General features: G+C 45.6%; 1 protein-coding gene across 8 annotated transcripts in view, besides 2 other annotated features; it reads right to left on the bottom strand.

Annotated features, from left to right (window-relative positions):
• Nucleotides 1-22,228, bottom strand: part of USP43 (ubiquitin specific peptidase 43) — an 84,428-nt gene that overhangs the window by 19,890 nt on the left and 42,310 nt on the right. For 5 of the 8 annotated variants that reach the window (XM_017024159.3, NM_153210.5, XM_011523639.3 and 2 more), the window contains 4 exons: nt 16,568-16,671; nt 9,549-9,626; nt 8,553-8,679; nt 8,098-8,446 (listed from right to left, as the gene is read on the bottom strand). In XM_017024159.3, the coding sequence (XP_016879648.1) occupies nt 8,098-8,446; nt 8,553-8,679; nt 9,549-9,626; nt 16,568-16,671 (658 nt within the window). The remainder of the gene's footprint in view (nt 1-8,097; nt 8,447-8,552; nt 8,680-9,548; nt 9,627-16,567; nt 16,672-22,228) is intronic. The other 3 variants (XM_047435319.1, NM_001267576.2, XM_047435320.1) reach the window with 1 other exon arrangement.
• Nucleotides 786-950: a silencer, noted in NCBI's record as "fragment chr17:9612165-9612329 (GRCh37/hg19 assembly coordinates)". NCBI's record gives its function as "represses an EF-1alpha promoter that drives an FKBP-Casp9 reporter gene in an ReSE screen in K562 erythroleukemia cells {active_cell/tissue: K562}" and the evidence as "EXISTENCE:reporter gene assay evidence [ECO:0000049][PMID:32094911]".
• Nucleotides 7,802-9,001: an enhancer, noted in NCBI's record as "CDK7 strongly-dependent group 2 enhancer chr17:9604114-9605313 (GRCh37/hg19 assembly coordinates)". NCBI's record gives its function as "activates an origin of replication core promoter dependent on BRD2, BRD4, P300/CBP, MED14 and CDK7 cofactors, with strong dependence on CDK7, by STARR-seq in HCT116 cells {active_cell/tissue: HCT116}" and the evidence as "EXISTENCE:reporter gene assay evidence [ECO:0000049][PMID:35650434]".

Genomic DNA, 22,228 nt, shown 5'->3' with positions numbered 1-22,228 from the left:
ATCAGTAAGTTATACCCTCGGATTCTTACTATAACAAGTGCTGTTATTATTTTTATTTATTTATTTATTTTTATTTATTTTTGAGACGGAGTTTCGCTCTGTCACCCAGGCTGGAGTGAAGTGGCGCGATCTCGGCTCACGGCAACCTCCACCCCCCGGGTTCCAGTGATTCTCCTGCCTCAGCCTCCTGGGTAGCTAGGATTACAGTTGCCTGCCACCACACCCGGCTAATATTTATATTTTTATTAGAGATGGGGTTTCACCATGTTGACCAGGCTGGTCTCGAACTCCTGACCTAAGATGATCCACCCACCTCGGCTTCCCAAAGTGCTGGGATTACAGGCCTGAGCCACCATGCCCGGCCAAGAGTGCTGTTATTTTAAGTTGAATATTCTACCCCTTCATCAGGCAAAATCTCAAATAAAAGGGAGCTCCCAAGTTAGGTAGCCAAACAATAATGTCAGCGTTCACCCCATTTCTTCTGAGAAGCTTCAAAATGCATATCTCTGATTAAGCATGCAATAAAAGTGAAGATGAGAATCACAATTGGGCTTATGGCATACCTCTTTCTAAGAACTGAAGTCAAACGTCTAAGGAAAATTCATAAATATTCTCACCATTTCTCAAGTAACGACAACAAAATATCCGTTTCCTTGCCCTCTACGTGTCAGCAAATGACAGCATAACCCAGTAATCTGGAAGTTTGCAAACTTTTCCCATAAGGGACCAGATGACAAATATTGAGACTTTGCAGGTCACATATGGCCACATATATTCTCTGTCGCATATTCTGCGTGTCTTTCTCCCACTTTTAAAATTGTAAAAACCATTTTTAACCCATAGATTATTAATAAACGGGGGAAAAAAAACAGGCCGGGCGTGGTGGTTCATGCCTTTAATCCCAGCACTTTGGGAGGCCGAGGTGGGCAAATCACGAGGTCAGGAGTTCGAGACCAACCTGGCCAACATGGTGAAACCCCGTCTCTATTAAAAATACAAAAAATTAGCTGGGCGTAGTGGTGCACGCCTGTAATCCCAGCTACTTGGGAGGCTGAGGCAGGATAATCGCTTGAACCCAGGAGGCAGAGGTTGCAGTGAGCCAGGATCACGCCACTGCACTCCAACCCGGGCAACACAGTGAGACTCCGTCTCAAAAAACAACAACAACAACAAAAAACAGGCCCTAGATTGGATCCGGCCCGTGGGCCACAGTTTGCTGACCTCCACACTAATCCAAGCCAGCCACCTAGGAGTTCATCTTTGCTCTTGCTTTTCCGTTCCGCCCCACACCTAATCCAAAAGCCAGACCTACTGATTCTACTTCCAAACTATGTCTCGAATATCTTGATTGTCAACACCAACATCTCAGCCAGTGGTGTCTCTCACTCGGCCCCTGAAGCACCCTCCTAACTGGAATTCCAGCTTCCACTCTAGATCCCTTCTACACATTCTCCATACAGCAGAGCAACTAGTTTGATTTGTACACTAGATTATGTCTTCACTCCTCTGCTTAGAACCTTTAAATGATTTATCACCCCTTTGGAAAAAATGCAAACTCCCATCCGTGGCCTAGAGTGTCCTGCCCACTTCTCCAGCCCCACCCTTCATCAATTACCCCTGAATGGCTACACTTCATCCAGGCTGTCATCATGTCTTAAACACACCGAATGCTTTCTGCCTCAGGGCCTTTGCACATGCTACGAGCTCTGCTCATAATGCAATTCATCCCATTATTCACATAGCTAGTTCTATCTCATCCTCAGCTCTGAGCCTACATGTGACATCCTTGCAGAGGCCTTATGTCTATCACAGACACAGTCAATCAGTCGCCCTTTCAAAATGTCAGGTAGTGAAAGTGCTAAAATGATAAGCACATTTTATTGTCTGTCTCCAAAGTGAGACTGAAGTCCCATGAGGGCAGGCCTTGTATTTGTCTTGTTCATCACTGAAGCTCCAGGACCTGGCATAGAACAGGTACTTAATATACATTTGTGCAATGAATTAATGAGCAAAGATCCTGGATTTCTATATAGTTTGGTGTCTTCCAAATTGCCAGTCATCAGCCCATCGGGACACTGGTAATCAGTGCATTAAAAAAAAATGTTTAATAAATAAAAAATGAAATATTTTAAAGCTTTTTTTTTTTTTTTTGAGACAGAGTCTCGGTCTGTCGCCCAGGCTGGAGTGCAGTGGCATGATCTCGGCTCACTGCAAGCTCCACCTCCCGGGTTCACGCCATTCTCCTGCCTCAGCCTCCCGAGTAGTTGGGACTACAGGCGCCTGCCACCACACCCGGCTAATTGTTTTGTATTTTTATTAGAGACGGGGTTTCACCATGTTAGCCAGGATGGTCTTGATCTCCTGACCTCGTGGTCCGCCCACCTCGGCCTCCCAAAGTGCTGGGATTACAGGCGTGAGCCACCGCGCCTGGCCAAAGCATTTTTAAAATTAAGTAATATGTTATTCTGGAATAGAATGGACCAAGGTATATCACATGTAGTAAATTTAATTATCGACTCATGAAATTCTGTTTAGTCTTAATCTATGTATGTACACATAAACACACATGTGCGCGTACGTAAATGGATGCGCACATCAGGAGGTCATGATGGAACCCAGTGTTTCATTTTGCCATTTAGTCAAGTGCCTCATCATCATATTTTATTTCATTTAACATCTTTTAAGTTTATTTTGATATGTAAAATGGCAAACAAAAATCCACTAAAAACAAAAAATACATCTATGGTATGATAGCATTTATGTAAAAGTATATGGCAGCTTGAAAGTTACCAATTGTTGGGGCCTACAATATGAGAAGCATCTTACATATGTTAGTTCTAGTCATAAAAATCCCAGGCTGGGCACGGAGACTCACGCCTGTAATCCCAGCACTTTGGGAGGCCGAGGCGGGCAGATCATGAGGTCAGGAGTTCAAGACCAGCCTGGCTAACACAGTGAAACCCCGTCTCTACTAAAAATACAAAAAATTAGCTGGGTGTGGTGGCACCCGCCTGTAGTCCCAGCTACTCAGGAGGCTGAGGCAGGAGAATCACTAGAACCCGGGAGGCAGAGGTTGCAGTGAGCCGATATCGTGCAATTGCACTCCAGCCTGGGACACAGAGCGAGACTCTGTCTCAAAAAAAAAAAAAAAAAAAAAAAAAAAAAATTAATATCTGATAGGGCAGATGGCATCTCAAGGAACAAGATTGGCTTTTCCATCAGTAGTGATCTCGGGACAAATTGGCAACTCCCGGAGGATAAAGTTGGATCTCTTTCTCTCAAGAAAATTAAGAAACTCCAAATCAAGGATTTAAATGTAATAAGCTAAAACCAAGTAGAAAACTCAAGAAAAACACTTTTTAATCTTAGAGTGAAAAAGGCTTTCTAATCATGACTCATAATCCAGAAGACTTAAAAGAAATGATTGATAATTTTACCTAGAAAAGCAAAAATAAAAACTTTCTGCATGGCAAAAATTTTCCACAGGAAGAGCCAACTGACAGATGTTACACAGGGAACACATACTTGCAATTTATATTACAGAAAAGAGGTGAATCTCATAGTACATTAAGAATTAGAGCATCTAGAAATTGATGGGAAAAAGACTAATAATTCATTTGAAAAACAGTCAAGGATATGGATAGACAGTTCACAGGAAAGGAACCATAGTGGCTCAAACATGCGAAAAGATGCTCAAGCTCACACTATTAAGAACCTAAATATTCAACTTACACTGAGATACCATTTTCCTACTATTAGATGGGCAAAAATCCAAAAGTGTGATCACACACTCTACTGGAGAGGCTATAGAGAACCAGGTGTTCTCTTGCTCTTAACAGAGTGCAAACTGCTATGACCCTTTGTGCAGGACATCTTGTTTGTGCTTATTACAACACAGACACAGCTATTCCAATTCTGAGAATTTATCCTGCCAATAAACTTCCATATGTAGAAAATGACATATCTAAAGGGTTATCACAGCAATATTTGTGTTTTTTTGTTTTTTGGGTTTTTTTTTTGCTGTTGTTGTTGTTTTTTTTTTTTGAGACAGAGTCTCACTCTCTCACCCAGGCTGGAGTGCAGTGGTGTGATCTCGGCTCACTGCAATCTCCACCTCTGGGTTCAAGCAGTTCTCCTGCCTCAGCCCCCCGAGTAGCTGGAACTACAGGCACACGCCACCACGCCTGGCTGATTTTTGTATTTTTAGTAGAGACAGGGTTTCACCATGTTGGCCAGGCTGGTCTTGAACTCCTAACCTCAAGTGATCTGCCTGCCTCAGCCTCCCAAAGTGCTGGGATTACAGGCGTGAGCCACCACGCCCGGCCGACAGCAACATTTGTAATAGTAAAAGAATGAGTCAGTCCAATGTCCATCTACAGAGTATTTAATAAATTGTTATATTTATTTAGTGCATTTACATTTATAAAAGAAGATGGAGAAGCTGTCTAGAAATGAGGACATGAAAAGATTTCCAAGACAGATTTTCAGAGAGAAAAAAAAAAAAAAGCCAGGTGCAACACAGTAAATAGTACTTTTACTTAAATTAGGGGGTGGGAAGGAAATATATAAAATCAACACATATATATGTATATAGAAAAATATACTCACAATTGCTTGTATTTACATAAAGAAATTGTGGAAGAATAGTACACAAGAAACTACTAAAAATGGTTACCTAGAAATGAGGAGGGGGTAGATGAGGAACAAACATAGAATCAAGACTTGTCACTGTCCATCTTTTTTAGGCCGTGTGAATTTTGAAATATAGGCATGCATTACCTATATTTAAAATGAAATTTTACCACATTACCACATTTAAAATGAAACAAAAGGCATTTGAGATTTCTAAAAATCTGAAATGTGGTAGAATTATCACACTTCCAAGAAGCAAATAACTAAAAAGGAACAAATATGTCAAAAGACGTGAGATAGAAAGCAACAGCTCAGCTTTGAGGGCCCAGCAAGCAGATGGAGTGGAGGTCACACACTCGCCTCTGCAAGGAAGGGGTTCAACACAGAGTGCCTGGGGGAGGTGGGGGGGTTGCAGGGGGTAGGAAGAGGGCCACCCACCAGCTACAGCCCCAGAGGCTCGGTACTGGGCGTGTCAGAAACCACAAGAAGCCAAGCCAGGTGAGGACCCAAAACAAAACCAGGATGCTCTGAAAAAGAAACCTAAGACTAGGCCAGGCGCAGTGGCTCACGCCTGTAATCCCAGCACTTTGGGAGGCCGAGGAAGGCAGATCATTTGAGGCCAGGAGTTCAAGACCAGCCTGTCCAACATGGTGAAACCCTGTCTCTACTAAAAAATACAAAAATTAGCCAGGCGTGGTGGCGAGCACCACCGTGGCCAGCCCTGAGTCCCAAGTACTCAGGAGGCTGGGGCAGGAGAATCACTTGAATCCAGGAGGCAGAGATTGCAGTGAGCCGAGATCACATCACTGCACTCTAGCCTGGGTGACAGAGCAAGATTCCATCTCACAAACAAAACAAAAAAAAGCACAAAGATATTTCCCAGACCTGAAGATCACGTCTGCAGACACACAGGTCCCCTAAATGCAGGTCCCAATACAAGCAATGAAAAAGACCTACAGGTAAGCACACTCTATGAAATTCCAGAGCACCTGTGAAAAAGAACCTGAAAGCTTCCAGAGAGAAAAATATATCCTATCCTAGACAAAGGAACAGAAATCAAACTGGCCTGACCCATTCTCAACAGCAAAACCCTACTCCAGACCCCATTCCACACGGAGCAACATTGCTGATTTTCAATCAAGGACTTTATGTCCCACCAGGCTATCAATCAGGTGTGGAAATAAAGGCATTTCCTGACACGTAAGCACTCCAAAGGTCAAGCTCCCATCACCCTTTCCTAGGAAGCCACTGAGGGTGAGCTTCACCTAAAGGAGGGAGTTGACACTCATCTACAATACCCTACATGGCTTGGGGACTTGTTCATATCAGGAATCACTCATCTCGGCAGGGCAGAAGCTACTGACCCTGGAGCCAGGGTGGCCCAGGTTTGAAGCCCAGACTCTGCCATTTAACTGGCAGTGCAAATTGTCTTCAGGGAAAAGATTGTGTATGTTGGCACCGATGACAGCAAGTGGCCCAGGTCTTACCCAGGGCTGTGTTGGCTGCACACACTGCCCTGCCTACCGCCTCGCCAGTCCCCTCTTTCCCTTGGGCTCCTCTCCCTTTGCTTTTAGTATTAAACAGGCTCTTTCCTGGCAGGTGGTGGCACACTGTGTGTGCAAACACTGACCCAGGAGATCTCTGCAAGGGGAACCTTCCAGGAACTGCGTCCCTTCTGCTGCCATACCACCACCCCCAAAATCGGGCATTCTGCTCTTTAATGTTCACCCCAGGAGGGGTCTGGATCTCGCTTTTGATAAGGCAGATGCCAACGCTTCTCACGCCTATGCTACTTCTAACTCCCTGCTGTGGTTTTACATCACTGCCCTTAATTTATGTGGGGCCACCCTGTGAGTTTATAGATGGGGAGGCAGCACGTTCAGCATGGGAAATGACAAGGCCCAGGTTCCAGCTGTCCTTATTTTCACCACTCATGTGTGCACGGGGACTCATTCAGCCATAACGCTCTTAGTAAAAAAAAAAAAAAATCTGAGTAACAAAGATGCCTCCCAATATATATATGGGCCTCAAGGGATTCCTGCTGAGCTATTTTCGGCCCAGAGAAGTGAGACAGGGGAAGTGGCTGGACAGAATGGTCCCAGCAGTTACAAAGGTGGCAAGCCCTCATCTGGAGCAGGACAGCTGTGGAAGAACAGGCTGGCACCGCACAGCAGCATAAGGCGGCCACTGTCAGCTGAAAGCGGCTTTGGTGGCTCCCATAACCTTCACCATGACCAGCCTAGGCTGGCCCACCATCCAGCGCATCTCTGTCCACTCAGGTGGTCCCCAGCCTGTAACTGCATCCTCATTTCTCTTTCTCTATGGGGGCCTGTTCCATCCATTCTCCGATGGCGGAAATCATGCCCTAAACCCCCTGGACTCCTAAGGCTCACCCCGATGACCCTCCACACTATCTGCACGGTGGAGACACTCAATTGCCGCAGCTACCAATAGGCTTCTCACCGTCACTGAGAGGCCCTGGTGGGGGAGAAGCAAACAATGACATAATCGAGAAAAATCATCCCTCATGACACTCTCTGAAAACACTCAAAGGGATGATTATGAACGATTGAGAAAATCTGGCCATTTGTTTATGCCCTTCCCTTCATCCACTGCTCTGAAATTCCCCAGAGGAATAAACATGAAAAGTACCCCATAGAATAAAAGGATACCAAATCCGATAAGTAAGATTCCTCACGCTGAATCACAGATGAGAATGAATGTCACTCTCTTGGTTCCAATAATGACCTCCCATATTTAATATGGTTGAAAATTTGGGCAGTAACTAACCTCTGTTTGTTGGTTTATTTGTTTTGGAGACACGGTCTCGCTCTGTTGCCCAGGCTGGAGTACAGTGGTGCAATCATGGTTCACCACGGCCTCAGCCTCCTATCTCAGCCTCCTGAGCAACTAGGACTACAAGTGTAAGCCACAATGCCTAGCTCATTTTTTTTTTTCATTTTTTTTGTAGAGACGGGGGTCTCACTTTGTTGCCTAGGCTGGTCTTGAACCCCTGGCCTCAAGTGATTCTTCCACCTCAGCCTCCCAAAGTGCTGGGATTACAGGCATGAGCTACTGCATCAGGCCTAACTTTACATATTCCAACCTCCAACCTAACTCAATGTCAACTCTATAGCTGGGACAAGGTCCCTTCTGCTCTCGCACATGGTGCGAGACAGCCACACTACCGTGCCCTGCCTATGGGTTCCTGGAGAGCTGCAGGCATCCTTCTGACTCAGCACTATATTTTACTGGAATTCTCTCTCCCCCACCAGCTCCTACAGGGCAGGTCCTTGGCTTATTCATCTTTGTTTTCCTCATCCTCATCTTCCTGGTGTGCGGTGGGTGAGGGGTCGGATCTCAATAAGTGCCCCAGGGAGCTCAGCATCTGAGCAACACCCATTCCAGGGACATCTCGAGGCTGTGGCCACAGCTGCATTTGCAGAAAGGCAAGGCAAGGCTCACCTGTGTAATGCCCACCTTGCAGGTTGCCATGGTGGTTGCAGACGGCATACAGGTCGTACAGGAAGTCCAGCGGGTAACTGGTGGGCAGGCAGTCCGGCTGCTTCCAGGAAGGCCAGGGGCCCAGTCCTGCCTCAGGGCTGGTGCTTCTCTGGGCCACATGGGGAGCCATGTTGAGTCCAGAGAGCGGAAACTTCACCAGCGTGGAGAGCTTGTTTCTTCTCTCGCCCACCTGGCAGAACCTTTTGAGGTGGATGATGAGGATGTCAGGCAGCGTCCACAAACTCAGCTTCACCATCCCCTGCTGCAGGACTTGGCAGTGAGGACACTTCCAGGCGTCATCCTGGGCCAGCTGGAAAGCAAACCACCCGGACTGTGAGGCCCCCGCAGCACGTGGCCAACCCACCAAAGGCAGCCAGCCCCCTTCCCGGCCGGGGCATGGACCCCCAGGGCGGGACCTGCTCCTCCTTGGTGTAGAACTGAAAACATTCATCCAAGGTACAGCTGTGCTGCTGATGCGCCTGCTGCTGCTGCCACACACTGTCGGCATCCTGCGCTCGCTCCTCCTGGAGGCTCCCGAACAGGCTGCACGGAGAGGACACCCACGGCGTTCAGGACTTTCCTGCTCCCAGACAGGTTTCGTCTATGTCTCTACTCACAGCAAACCCGTCAGCAGACATTGGCCAGGCCACACTACCGTGCCCTGCCTATGGGTTCCTGGAGAGCTGCAGGCATCCTTCTGACTCAGCACTATATTTTACTGGAATTCTCTCTCCCCCACCAGCTCCTACAGGGCAGGTCCTTGGCTTATTCATCTTTGTTTTCCTCATCCTAGCACAGGGCCTGGCACCTAGAAGTTGATCAATAAATACTTGCTGGACTGAACGACATCCTTTCTTAAAGTAAGGCTGATGCCCTCAGTGTTACAGAGGTAGCCAAGTATGGTGATGAGGAGCATGGACTCCAGTCAGAGGGTCTGGGTTCAAATCCCAGCTCTGCCAATGTACAAGCTGTGTGCCCTCCAGCAACTGCTTACCCTCTCTGTGCCTCAGTTTCCACCTCTGAGAAATGTGGATTACAGGAGTATCCACCCCAGACCACCCACACATAGGGTGTGATTAAGATTAAATAAATCCCCTATACACACATGAAGTGTGCAGAGCAGTGACTGGCATGGGGTGAGTGGGTGGGTGCTACGTAACTGTCTACTATGACTGCAGTTACTACTTCTGACATCACCCACCACCACCACCATCACTCCATTCCTCCATTCCTGTCACTGTTATTTACATACAGAAAATTCTCACTCAGGCATCTCACAGGAACGGGTTACACTGGCTCAAAGATGTGTGCACCCTGCCTGCAGCCGTGCTGGGGGAAGCTGCGTCCAGGGAAACCTGGGCACACACAGGCCCTGTCTCAGCTCTGCAGGTGGCAAATTCCCTTGAACTCACCGCTCCTTGACAGAGCTATCCCACTCCACCGCCAGCTTGACATGTGGAGGGCCTCCTGGCCTCCTGAGATGCAAAACCCTGAGAAGAGAACAAGGGAGCCCATCAGAAAACACGGGGCCTCCTTCCCACAGCTCTTCAGGGCTCAGCAGTCTCCCCCACAACCCAAGGACTGATGTTCCAAACAGAAATACCCAAAACTGCCAGTAAGCCAAGGTCAGCTATCCTCGGAGGCTGCTAAGTCTGCTGAAGGCTCCGTCTCAGAACTTCAGACCAACCTCACAGTGCCTCCCCTCATTCCCATGGGAGCTTGTGAGCTCTGTAGATTTGGGGTTACTTTGAGGAAATAGATCAGCTGTTCCACTGCAGCCCCAGCTACCTTCTCAATGTCTATAGGGCACTTCCACTTGACCATCCTACACAAATACCCAATACTGATGATGCCCAAAGAGAGCTGCTACCTTTCCCCCAACTGCAATGCAGAAGGAGCACCTTTAAGCCCCCCTCCACAACCTAAGAAGTCTTCTCCTTCCACACCCTCCAGTGCATAGAAAATCCCAGTGCCTGTCAACCTGTAGCTCTTTCCAACTACTTGGGCCCAGCCCATTTCAGAAACGGTGGATCAGCCTCAATACAGAAGAGATGGGAAGAGAGCAAAGTGGAGCACATGAGGTTTTATCCTGAAATCAATAGGAACAGATACAAGTGATGGCAACGTCCACACCCAAAGGAGTGTTTCAAATGTGTTGCAAGAAAAGGGGGGATGTCAGATGAGTCCCAAACTACCACTAAGATGATCTGATAAAAGGTTTTGAGCTCATGGAAGGCACAAAGTCCTGTGGCTGAGCATGGACAGGTCTGAGCTGGAGTTGTGGCACCTTCCTGCGTGAGCCAGGAGGGAGTGAGGAACAAGGCGTGTCTGGGAGAAGTTCTCCCAGCCCAGGGAGCCCTGATGCATTGGGAAAAACACTGATTGCTCCCTCAATTTCCTGTAGACGGGGAGAACCATGCTGCCTCCTCATCCTCACTCCTTCCAAAGGAGGAGAAGCACCTTATCTGATTGGTGGGATTGTAGAAGAAGGTGGGCTCTACGTCCTGTCATTAGGCCTACCTATGTCCTACAAGCTAGCCACCTGCCATTCTCCCCCACCCATGCCTTGCGTTTCCTGGAAGCAGCTCTGCCTTGCAGGTGGAAGACTGGAAGTATGTGACAAATATTCCATTCTGAGGAGACAGACTGAGGACCCCTAGATCTAAGCTTCTTTCTTTAGGTCCCCCAAATTCTCCATTTCCACAATGAGGGAGACCTGCCATTGGGGAGATCTGCCTTGGCAGAGGTCTGCGGGTACGTAATTTAATTCTGGGGAAACACATTTGAAAGCCCAAATTGGACTCACATCTAAGCTGCATCCTTAATCAGTCTTATGAATAAACCTAAAATTTACATCTCTTTCTGCCTCAATCCACAGTCTACTTTTCAACTGGAATTTAAACATGGGAGTGGAAAATGAAAACTGGTACCTTCATGCTCCAAGTTTATTGTACAAAACTCCTTAGGTCCCAGAAAGAAAGAGGTGTGGCTGTCACCCAACTTCCTTCTTTACATGGAAATCAGATTGTCACTAGAGGGTGAGATTATCTGCCCAGACCACAGCTCTGATACAAAAAGAAAGAGGGCCTTATTCAATGTGTATGGAGCGATGCTACTCCAAGAAATGTATATACCTAACAATCCCCACCCTTAAGGGACTGATAGGCTAATGGGAGGAGCATACAAAGAGATCATTCTGATGCACTCAGGTGTCTGGGGACACACACCCCAGGATGCTCTGGAGGACAGATGGGGCAGGACTTGGCCAGAGGAATGACTGAGACCTCGAAAGCAAATGCAACATAAACAAACATTGAAAAATGGGACTTAATTAAACTAAAGAGGTCTGCACAGCAAAAGAAGCTATCAACAGAATAAAGAGGCAGCCTACAGGATGGGAGAAAATTTTTGCAAACTATGCATCTGACAAAGGACTAATATCCAGAATATATAAGGAACTTAAGTCAACAAAAACAAATAATCCTATTAAAAAGTGGGCAAAGGACATGAAAGACATCTCTCCAAAGAAGACATATAAGTGGCCAACAAACATATTAAAAGCTGCTCAACAGCACTAATCATCAAGGAAATGCAAATTAAAGCCACAGTGAAATACCATCTCACATCAGCAGATGGCTATTATTAGAAGGTCAGAAAATAACAGATATTGGCAAGGATGAAGAGAAAAGAGAATGCTTAGACACTGTTGGTTGGAATGTAAATTAGTTCAACTCCTATGGAAAAAAGTATGATGATTTCTCAAAGAACTAAAAATAGAACTACCATTCAACTCAGCAATTCTGCTCCTGGGTATCAACCCAAAGGAAAATAAATCATTGTATCAAAAAGACACCTGCACTCACACGTTTGTCACATCACTAGTCATAATAGTAAGGCCATGGAGTCAACCCGGGTATCCATCAATGGTGGATTGGATAAAGAAAATGTGGTACATGTACACCACAGAACACTACACAGCCAAAAAAAAAAAAAAAGAATTCCTGTTTCTTTGCAGCAACATGGATGAAAATGGAGGCCATTATCCTAAGTGAATGAATGCAGAAACAGAAAATCAAATACCACATGTCCTCATTTATAAGTGAGAGCTAAACCGTGGGTACACATGGACATAAAGATGGGAACAATAGATATTGAGCACTGCAAAATGGGGGAGGGAAGAAGGGAGAGAGGGTTGAAAAGCTACTTATTGAGTACTATGCTCACTATTTGAGTGATGGGTTATATAGAAATGCAAACTCCAGTGTTACATGATATATCCATGTAAAAACCTGCACTCGTACCCATGAATCTTAAAAAAAAAAATTATATAAGTGAGAAGACAACATTCACCCAAGAAAGTTATAGAAATAAAAATAAATGAATAATAAACAAAACTTTAAGAAATTTTTATCTTTTTTATTTTATTTATTTATTTATTTATTTTTGAGACAGAGTCTCGCTCTGTTGCCCAGGCTGGAGTGCAGTGGAACAATCTCGGCTCACTGCAAGCTCCGCATCCTGGGTTCAAGCGATTCTCCTGCCTCAGCCTCCCAAGTAGCTGGGATTACAGGTGTGTGCCACCATGCCTGGCTAATTTTTGTATTTTCAGTAGAAATGCGGTTTCACCATGTTGGCCAGGCTGGGCCTGAACTTCTGGCCTCAAGTGATCCACCCGCCTTGGCCTCCCCAAGTGCTGGGATTATAGGCGTGAGCCACCGTGCCTGGCCCAAAAATTTAATGAATTTCTTAAAAAAGTCAGCCAGGGGAACCAGAGGGGAAAGGGACACACAGGTGGAGGGCTCACCAGTAGAGGGCAGGATGTGTGCCCTCTAATGGAAAGTCCCAGCACAGTGAGGGACGGGCCACATGGGAGAGGCAGGGCCTTGTAGGCCACCTTCACAAGTGTGGACTTTATCCCGTGGGCACTGGGAGGCCACCGAGTGGTTTATAACACGTAGATTAGAAGGGGTCAGGGATGATGCCAGGTTCCTAGCTTGAGGTCCTGAGTAGATGGTGGTGTCACCATTTAAACACAAAGATGGGAAATGGAAAGCTTTAAGCAAGAAGAGTTCAGACTGGCAAGTGTTTAGTTACCAGTGTCTATGAGGCATTTAAGTAGGACAGGCAGGTCTGCAATCCAGAGAAAAATCTGGGCAGGAGATATGGATCTAGGAGACTTTGGCCTAAAGGCAGTAGACAGAACCAAGAGTAGGATCACCCAGGGATGGGGCCAGGCATGGTGGCTCACGACTGTAATCCCAGCACTTTGGGAGGCAGAGGCAGGCGGATTGCCTGAGCTCAGGAGTTCACAACCAGCCTGGGCAACACGGTGAAACCCCGTTTATACTAAAATACAAGAAATTAGCCAGGGGTGGCAGTGTGCACCTGTAGTCCCAGCTGCTCGGGAGGCTGAGGCAGGAGAATTTCTTGAATCCAGGAGGCGGGGGTTGCAGTGAGCCGAGATTGTGCCACTGCACTCCAGCCTGGGCGACAGAGTGAGACTCTGTCTAAAAAACAAACAAAACAAAACATAAAAAACACCCATAAATGGAACCCAGAGGGCCAGGGGTAGAATGCTGAGACCCAATAATATTTGAGCATCCCAGAGAGGGAGAGGAAGATTTCAAGCAGACAAAAAAAATTCTAGGAGATATATTTCTAGGTGGTGTATACATACAATGGAATATTATTCAGCCTTCAAAAGGAAGGAAATTCTAATGCGTGCTACAACATGGGTGAACCTTCAAAACATGGTGGTTAGTGAATTAAGCCAAACACAAAAGGATAAACACTATGATTCCTGTTACCTGAGGCATCTACAGTTGTCAAATTCACAGTGACAGACAGTGGAGTGGTGGTTTCCAGAGACTGAGGAAGAGGAAGGGGAGGGATATTGTGTGATGGGTACAGAGTTTCCATTTTGCAAGATGAAAGATTTTTGGAGATGGATGGTGGCAATGGATGTATAACAAGGTAAATGTAACAATCCCACTGAACTGTACACTTTCAAGTGGTTAAAATGTAATTTTGGCCCTAAGTGGTGGCTCATGCCTGTAATCCCAGCACTTTGGGAGGCTGAGGTGGGTGGATCACGAGCTCAGGAGATCAAGCCCATCCTGGCTACCATGGTGAAACCCTGTCTCTACTAAAAATACAAAAAATTAGCTGGGCCTGGTGGCACGCACCTGTAGTACCATATACTTGGAAGGCTGAGGCAGGAGAATTGCTTGAACCCAGGAGGCGGAGGTTGCAGTGAGCCAAGATTACACCATTGCACTCCAGCCTAGGTAACAGAGTGAGACTCCATCTCAAAAAAAAAGTAATTTTATGTTCTATGTATTTTACCAAAAAGAAAAAAAAGAATTTCCTATAGAACAAGGAGATGTTGGGATAGGCATGGAAGAGGCAGGGCAAGGGCTAAATAGAGAGCCCTGTGAAAGAGGTAAGGTCACATTAGATGCCAGAGAGAGCTGTACCAGCAGGGCTGGGACTGGGATTGTGGGGTGGGGTGGGGATGGGAGTGGGGTGAACAGGGGCCAGACTGAGGTAAGATGTCCAGTGAATGGAAGGTGCGGGCCAGGAGGGGTGTGACCTCAAGAGAATATCCTTTAGGATGGTCAGCTTACTGTAGAACTCTACTCAATTCTAGCGCTTCTCAAACTACCTATGGTAAAAGACCAGTTTGATGGTTTGTTTCCAAACCACTGCAGACCAACACTTTTATAAAAAGAAATAATAGGCCGGGTGCGGTGGCTCACACCTGTAATCCCACCACTTTGGGAGGCAGAGGCAGGTGGATCACTTGAGGTCAGGAGTTCGAGACCAGCCTGACCAACATGATGAAACCCTGTCTATACTAAAAATACAAAAATTAGCCAGGCGTGATGGCGTGTGCCTATAATCCCAGCTACTGGGGAGGCTGAGGCAGGAAAATCGCTCGAACCCAGAAAGGCGGAGGGTGCAGGGAGCCGAGATGGCGCCACTGCACTTGAGCCTGGAAGACAAAGCGAGACTCCATCTCAAAAATGAATAAATAAATAAATAAATAATAAATAATAAAAAAGTAATGGGGGGTGAGGAAAGACATATAAAATAAAAGTTCCATTTTTAAAAGAAATTATCATATCCATCATATTATAGATTGCTCTGTCATATTGCTTTAACATTCGTAAGTGCTTCCTCTCAAGTTCTTGTCACGGGCTGGTGACAATTAGCTCACAGGCTGGCAGTCTACAGAACCACTTTGGGTTATCTCCAAGACTGAGTGTGGGAAGGGGCTTCCTCTCCCTGGGAGACCCAAACAGGCCCTTGATGACCCTTCTCCTGCCTTCCTAACTCTGTAAAGCAAAAGCATCTGCCAGCCAAGGAGGATATGGATGGGGTGTAGGTCACAGAACCTTCTGGCTCACCTGCTACCCTGGTTCCTGGTCTCTTTACAAGGGGAAAGGCCCATCTCAGTCAGGTTGAATTTGGCTGACCAAGTCAGGAAATCAGAGGACCTTACTGAGAACCTGGGGGTCTATGGGAAAATAAAGAGAAGTGCCAGACAGTTCGTTTATAGAGTAGAACTGCCCCATAGATGTTGCAATGACCTGGGGATTGCTTTGCAAGGGCACACGCACCAGAAGGCTATCAAGGTAGCTACCAGAGACACAGCCACACTGGCTTTAAGCCTCAGGCACACTCCACAATCTCTTACAGTTTAGGACCAATGAATCAGCTGTAGAATCTTCACATACCCTAGGGAGATATTCCTGTTGAATTCAGGAGCATGACCTAATTGAAAGAATTTCGTGTTTTGGTTTGTTTTTGTTTTTGTTTTTTGAGATGGAGTCTTGCTCTGTCACCCAGGCTAGAGTGCAGTGGCGCGATCTCGGCTCACGGCAACCTCCATCTCCCTGGTTCAAGCAATTCCCCTGCCTCAGCCTCCTGAGTAGCTAGGATTATAGGCGCGTGCTACCACGACCGGCTAATTTTTTTGTATTTTTAGTAGAGATGGGGTTTCACCATGTTGGCCAGACTGGTCTCAAAATCCTGACCCCAGGCAATCCACCCACCTCAGCCTCCAAAAGTGCTGGGATTACAGGCGTGAACCACCATGCCTGGCTGAATTTGGGTTTTAGTTAGATCAATCTGGGTTCAAATTTAGGCTTGCCTATTAACTAGCTTTTTAAGTGTGATCAAGTTAACTAACCTCTGAGAACGTTGGTGTCCCCCCCATCTTTGAAGCGGACATAATAGTGCCTCTCCAGACATACGGGTTCAAAGCACAGAACATGCCCAATGACCTAACATAGCGGCTGGTACTGGAGAGGTAAGTGATCAAGAATAACAAATACTATGAGCAATCTCATTGACATATACCCTCAAAGGACTCTGGTAAAATAAGAAAGGGTTCATTAGCTGACTGAACCTGGACCTTCCCCCTTACCTGTCAACTGCCCAGTGACAGAGGGGCCGACTGTCCTTCGGAGACAAATAGCTGCAGGCCACAGAGAGTCCCACAACACGGATGGAGAACAGAGACCCCAGGTTCTGCGAAGACAAAAACAGACATGGATCATTACGTAGCCCCTATATTGATTTAAATTAGACTCTAAAGGGGCGCATACATTAAAAAATATAATCATTATTTTCCATAGTGTATTTTGAATATTCCCGTAATAATTAGAATTCAAAATTAAGAGACAAAAACTTCATTTTTTTCAGATTCACACTATACCCTGTAATGCAGTGATCTAATACTGTGTTTAATATGTTACATCTTCCCCCCAAAAATGAACACAGTGTGTTTAAATAGTAAATGCTTAACTGGAGCAGATACTGGTACATGTAATGGAACATAAATCAATCATGTTAATTAATTTTTAATAGGTAACTTAACCTACTTTATTAAGATGATTATCATCCCCACAATGAGGCAATTTTCTAAAAGCCAGTTCATGTATATTTTACAGACAAAGTAAATATTTATACATTTTAAAATAAGCCACATAAAGAGATAGCACCTTAGTTATTATTCTAAGATATGTGTTTATTATATTTTAACTTTTCTGAAATTGAAATGAGGCTTACAATGACATATTTAACGGAAGATGCCTCTTAAAAATTCAATGGAATGAACAACTCAATTAAAAAATGGGCAAACATTTGTGCAGATATTTCTCCAAAGATGTACAGATGGCCAAGAAGCCCATGAAAAGATCAGCAACATCATTAGTCATTAGAGAAATGCAAATCAAGACAACGCTGAGGTACCACTTCACACCCACTGGGATGGCTATAATTAAATTTTTTTTTGAGACGACAAAGTCTCACTCTGTCGCCCAGGCTGGAGTGCAGTGCCACAATCTCAGCTCACTACAACCTCTGCCTCCTGAGTTCAGGTGATTCTCCTGCCTCAGCCTCCTGAGTAGCTGGAATTACAGGTGCCTGCCACCACACCTGGCTAATTTTTGTATTTTTAGTAGAGATGGGGTTTCACCATGTTGGCCAGGCTGCTCTTGAACTCCTGACCTCACGCGATCCGCCCACCTCGGCCTCCCAAAATGCTGGGATTACAGGCATGAGCCACCACGTCCAGCCTACAATTAAATTTGTTTTAATTTTCTTTTTTTTTCGAGATGGAGTCTCGCTCTGTCGCCCAGGCTGGAGTGCAGTTGTGTGATCTCAGCTCACTGCAAGCTCTGCCTCCCGGGTTCTTGCCATTCTCTGCCTCGGCCTCCTGAGTAGCTGGGACTACGGGCGCCCGCCACCACACCCGGCTAATTTTTTTTGTATTTTTAGTAAAGACGGGGTTTCACCATGTTAGCCAGGATGGTCTCGATCTCCTGACCTCATCCGCCTTGGCCTCCCAAAGTGCTGGGATTACAGGCATGAGCCACCGCACCTGGCCTAATTTTTTTTTTAATGGAAAATAACAAGCATTGGCAAGAATTTGGAGAAACTGGAACCCTTATGCATTGCTGGTGGGAACATAAAATGGATGGTACAGCTGCTGTAGAAAACAGTTCAGCAGTTTCTCAAAAGGTTAAATGTTGAACTACCATATAACCTTTAATTCTCTTAGGTGTATATCTAAGAGTCGCAAGGAGGGGCTTGAACAGATATTTATACACCAATGTTCACGGCAGCATGATTCACAAGTCAAAAGAAAGAAACAACCTGAGTGTCCACCAACAATGGATAAACAAAATGTGGGATATATACACAACAGAATATTATTTAGCCTTAAAAATGAAGGCAGCCCAGCGCGGTGGCTCACGCCTGTAATCCCAGCACTCTGGGAGGCTGAGGCAGATGGATCACCTGAGGTCAGGAGTTCGAGATCAGCCTGACCAACATGGAGAAGCTACATCTCTACTAAAAATACAAAAAAAAATAGCCAGGTGTGGTGGCGGGTGCCTGTAATCCCAGCTACTCAGGAGGCTGAGGCAGGAGAATCAGTTGAATCTGGGAGGTGGAGGTTGCAGTGAGCTGAGATCACGCCATTGCACTCCAGCCTGAGCAACAAGAGTGAAGCTCCATCTCAAAAAAAAAGAAAAAAAAAAAAATGAAGGAAATTCTGAGATATGCTACAACACAGATGACCCTTGAAAACATGACATTTAGTGAAATAAGCCAGATGTAAAAAGATAAATATTATATTATTCTAGTTATATAAGGTACCTAAAACAGGAAAATTCATACAGATAGAAAGTAGAATGGTAGCTACAAGGAGCTAGGCAGAGGAGAAAACGTGGAATTGTTGTTTAATAGGTATAGTTTGTTTGTTTGTTTGAGACAGTCTTGCTCTGTCACCCAGGCTGGAATGCAGTGGTGCGATCTCGGCTCACTACAAACTCCTCCTCTCCAGTTCAAGTGATTCCCTTGCCTCAGCCTCCCGAGTAGCTGGGATTACAGGCACCTGCCACCACACCTGGCTAATTTTTGTATTTTTAGTAAAGATGGGGTTTCACCATGTTGGCCAGGTTGGTCTTGAGCTCCTGACCTCAGGTGATCCACCTGCCTCGGCCTCCCAAAGTGCTGGGAGTACAGGCGTGAGCCACCACGTCTGGCAACATTTTAGTTTTTTAATAGGTATAAGGTTTTTGTTTTAATCAGTATAATGTTTAATAAAGTTTTTGTTGATGATGAAAAAATCGGGAGTATACATAGTAGTGATGGTGATACAACATTGTAAATGTAATTAATATACACTTATGAGTGGTTAAAATAAATAAATGTATATATCTTTTACCAAAATTTTTTAAAAAATCAACGGGGTCTTCATTCAAATAAAAGAAATAGGTGCTTAAATTTGTCACTGATGATCTTGACAACCAGAAATAAAATAAAATTTTCTTCCAAACTCTGACAAAGGTAAAAGGCAGACATGTTTTCTTAAAAACCATGGAGGAAACCTAGGTTGAATTATGAGAGGAAAACAAGAGAAAAGCATCATAATTCCAGGAAAGAGGAATGACACATGGTAGGACAGAATGACCCGAAACAGATGCAGAGAGTTGTGAGCCGACCCCTTTGGCTGTGGGAGCTGACGTGTGCAGGGAGCATCGGCCACAAGGCTGGTGGGTAAACTGGAACTGGGCTGCAGGGGGTCTTGAGTGTGAAGGGCAGGGAGCTCATACGTCTAGCCAGACTCTAACCACGTTCCAGTTCGTCTACGGCTTCAACAAAGACGAAATCAACGTCTGGAAGTAAGATGACTTCAGGGGCTTTGATTGAGGGTTGGCCACGGAAGGGTATTCTCCCTAAGGAGAATGTTAATTTAAATCTGGGGGAGAAGACTCTTTTTCCTCCGCCCCTAATGGAGCCTTGTTGTTTGGACAGCAAAAGTCAGCCATCATTACGGCACCAACATCTGCACAGAGGCAGCCTACTCTGCCTGCACACAAATAGTGCTGGCCTCACACACCCCCGTTTACAAAATACCATAAAAGTGTTTGGGTAGCCAGGCATGGTGGCTCATGCCTGTAATCCCAGCACTTCGGGAGGCCAATGTGGGAGGACTTCTTGAGGCCAGGAGTTCAAGACCAACCTGGGCAACACAGTGAGACCCTATCACTGCAAAAAAATTAAAATAATTAACCAGGCATGATGGCAGGTGCTTGTAGTCCCAGCTACTTGCAAGGATGAGGTGGGAGGATCACTTGAGCCCAGGAGTTCAAGGCTGCAGTGAGCTATGATCACACCACCACACTCCAGCCTGGCCAACAGAGTGGGACTCTATCTCTTTAAAAAAAAAAAAAATTGGCATTGATAGCTTTTATTTTTTTCATAATACATGCAAATTAATCCTATCCAGTAAACTGGTCATTTTTGTAAGAAACTTTCCTGTTCTCAATTCTTGGCTAGGGAAGTTCATGTCCAAACCTTCAATACAATATGTTTAATCTCTTCAGTTCAATGTTGAGACTCCTGAATATATTCTCTTCAAATGACTATATTTGAACCAGTATTTAATATAGTATTAAAAGAATTATGGGTTAAATGGGTTGGCTAGCCTGGAAGCCTCACAACCATCTAGAACACATTACTCCTACAGAAAAGCATGTCTGACCATACATTCACCCGTGAATCTGTGAAAAAGCATCTGTGGCTGAGTCAAAGGTTGCCCGTATTAGTATTTTGCTGGCCCCATTGATTGCTTGATCCATTTCTAAAATTGAAATTGGGCTGGGCACAGTGGCTCACACCTGTAATCCCAACACTTTGGGAGGCTGAGGCAGATGGATCAACTGAGCCCGGGAGTTCAAGATCACTCTAGGCAAAATGGTGAAACTGTCTCTAACAAACAAACAAAAAAAAGTTAGCTGGGTACGGTACCATACACCTGCAGTCCCAGCTACTCAGGAGGCGGAGGCAGGAGGATCACTTGAGCCTGGGAGGTCAAAGATGCAGTGAGCCATTACCGCACCACGGCACTCCAGCCTGGGTGTCAGAGTGAGACCCTGCCTCAAAAATAAAATAAAGCTAAAATGACTGCAAAGGTATGGAGGCAAAAGTACAGGTGTGGCTGGGTGTGGTGGCTCACGCCTGTAATCCCAGCACTTTGGGAGGTTGAAGTGGGAGGATCATGAGGCCAAGAGATTGAGACCATCCTGGCCAACATGGTGAAACCCCGTGTCTACTAAATATACAAAAATTAGCTGGGTGTGGTGGCGCTTGCCTGTAGTCCTAGCTACTTGGGAGGCTGAGGCAGGAGAATCGCTTGAACCTGGGAGGCGGAGGTTGCAGTAAGCCGAGATCACGCCACTGCACTCCAGCCTGGTGACAGAGCGAGACTCCATCTCAAAAAAAAAAAACAGGACAGGAGTGTGAGCAGGTAAGAGTAAGGATGGCTGAGTTAAATGCTCACATGAAATTAGTTTCATCTGGCCGGGCACGGTGGCTCACACCTGTAATCCCAGCACTCTGGGAGGCCGAGGCCAGTGGATCACGAGGTCAAGAGATCGAGACCATCCTGGCTAACACAGTGAAACCCCGTCTCTACTAAAAAATACAAAAAAGTTAGCTGGGCGTGGTGGCGGGCGCCTGTAGTCCCAGCTACTTGGGAGGCTGAGGCAGAAGAATGGCGTGAACCCGGGAGGCGGAGCTTGCAGTGAGCCGAGATCACGCCACTGCACTCCAGCCTGGGCGACAGAGTGAGACTCCGTCTCAAAAAACAAACAAACAAACAAAAAAAGCATAGTTTCATCCATTGCGATAATCAGTAGCTCAAGGTTTGGGAGAAGGCAAAACTCTCACCGGATAGACTGACCTACTTGCAGAGGAGTTTCTAATTTGGGCACTTTGGTGGATCTGATCTACAGTACATTGAACAAAATCCTTTAGAGATAAAAGTTGGGACAAATGTAGTGAAGGTTTTTAACAAAATGTTATTTGGTATAAATCCTAAATCAAACATATGGTTTTTGCTGAGCAGGAAGGAACATGAATTATGAGGAATTATCTCTGAGATAAGATCTGTGTGTGCCCCAAATAAAAAGCTTTTACTATGGGAATAGTTAGGGGACAATAGGAATCTGACACAACTGACCTGTCCCTAAAAATTTCAACATCTTCTGTGTCAAGCAACCATCAGAATAGTTTC

This window comes from Homo sapiens, chromosome 17 (genome assembly GCF_000001405.40).
Source record: "Homo sapiens chromosome 17, GRCh38.p14 Primary Assembly".
Lineage (NCBI taxonomy): Eukaryota > Metazoa > Chordata > Mammalia > Primates > Hominidae > Homo > Homo sapiens.
Note: the sequence above shows the minus strand (reverse complement) of the source record. Positions and strands in the feature narration are given on the sequence as shown.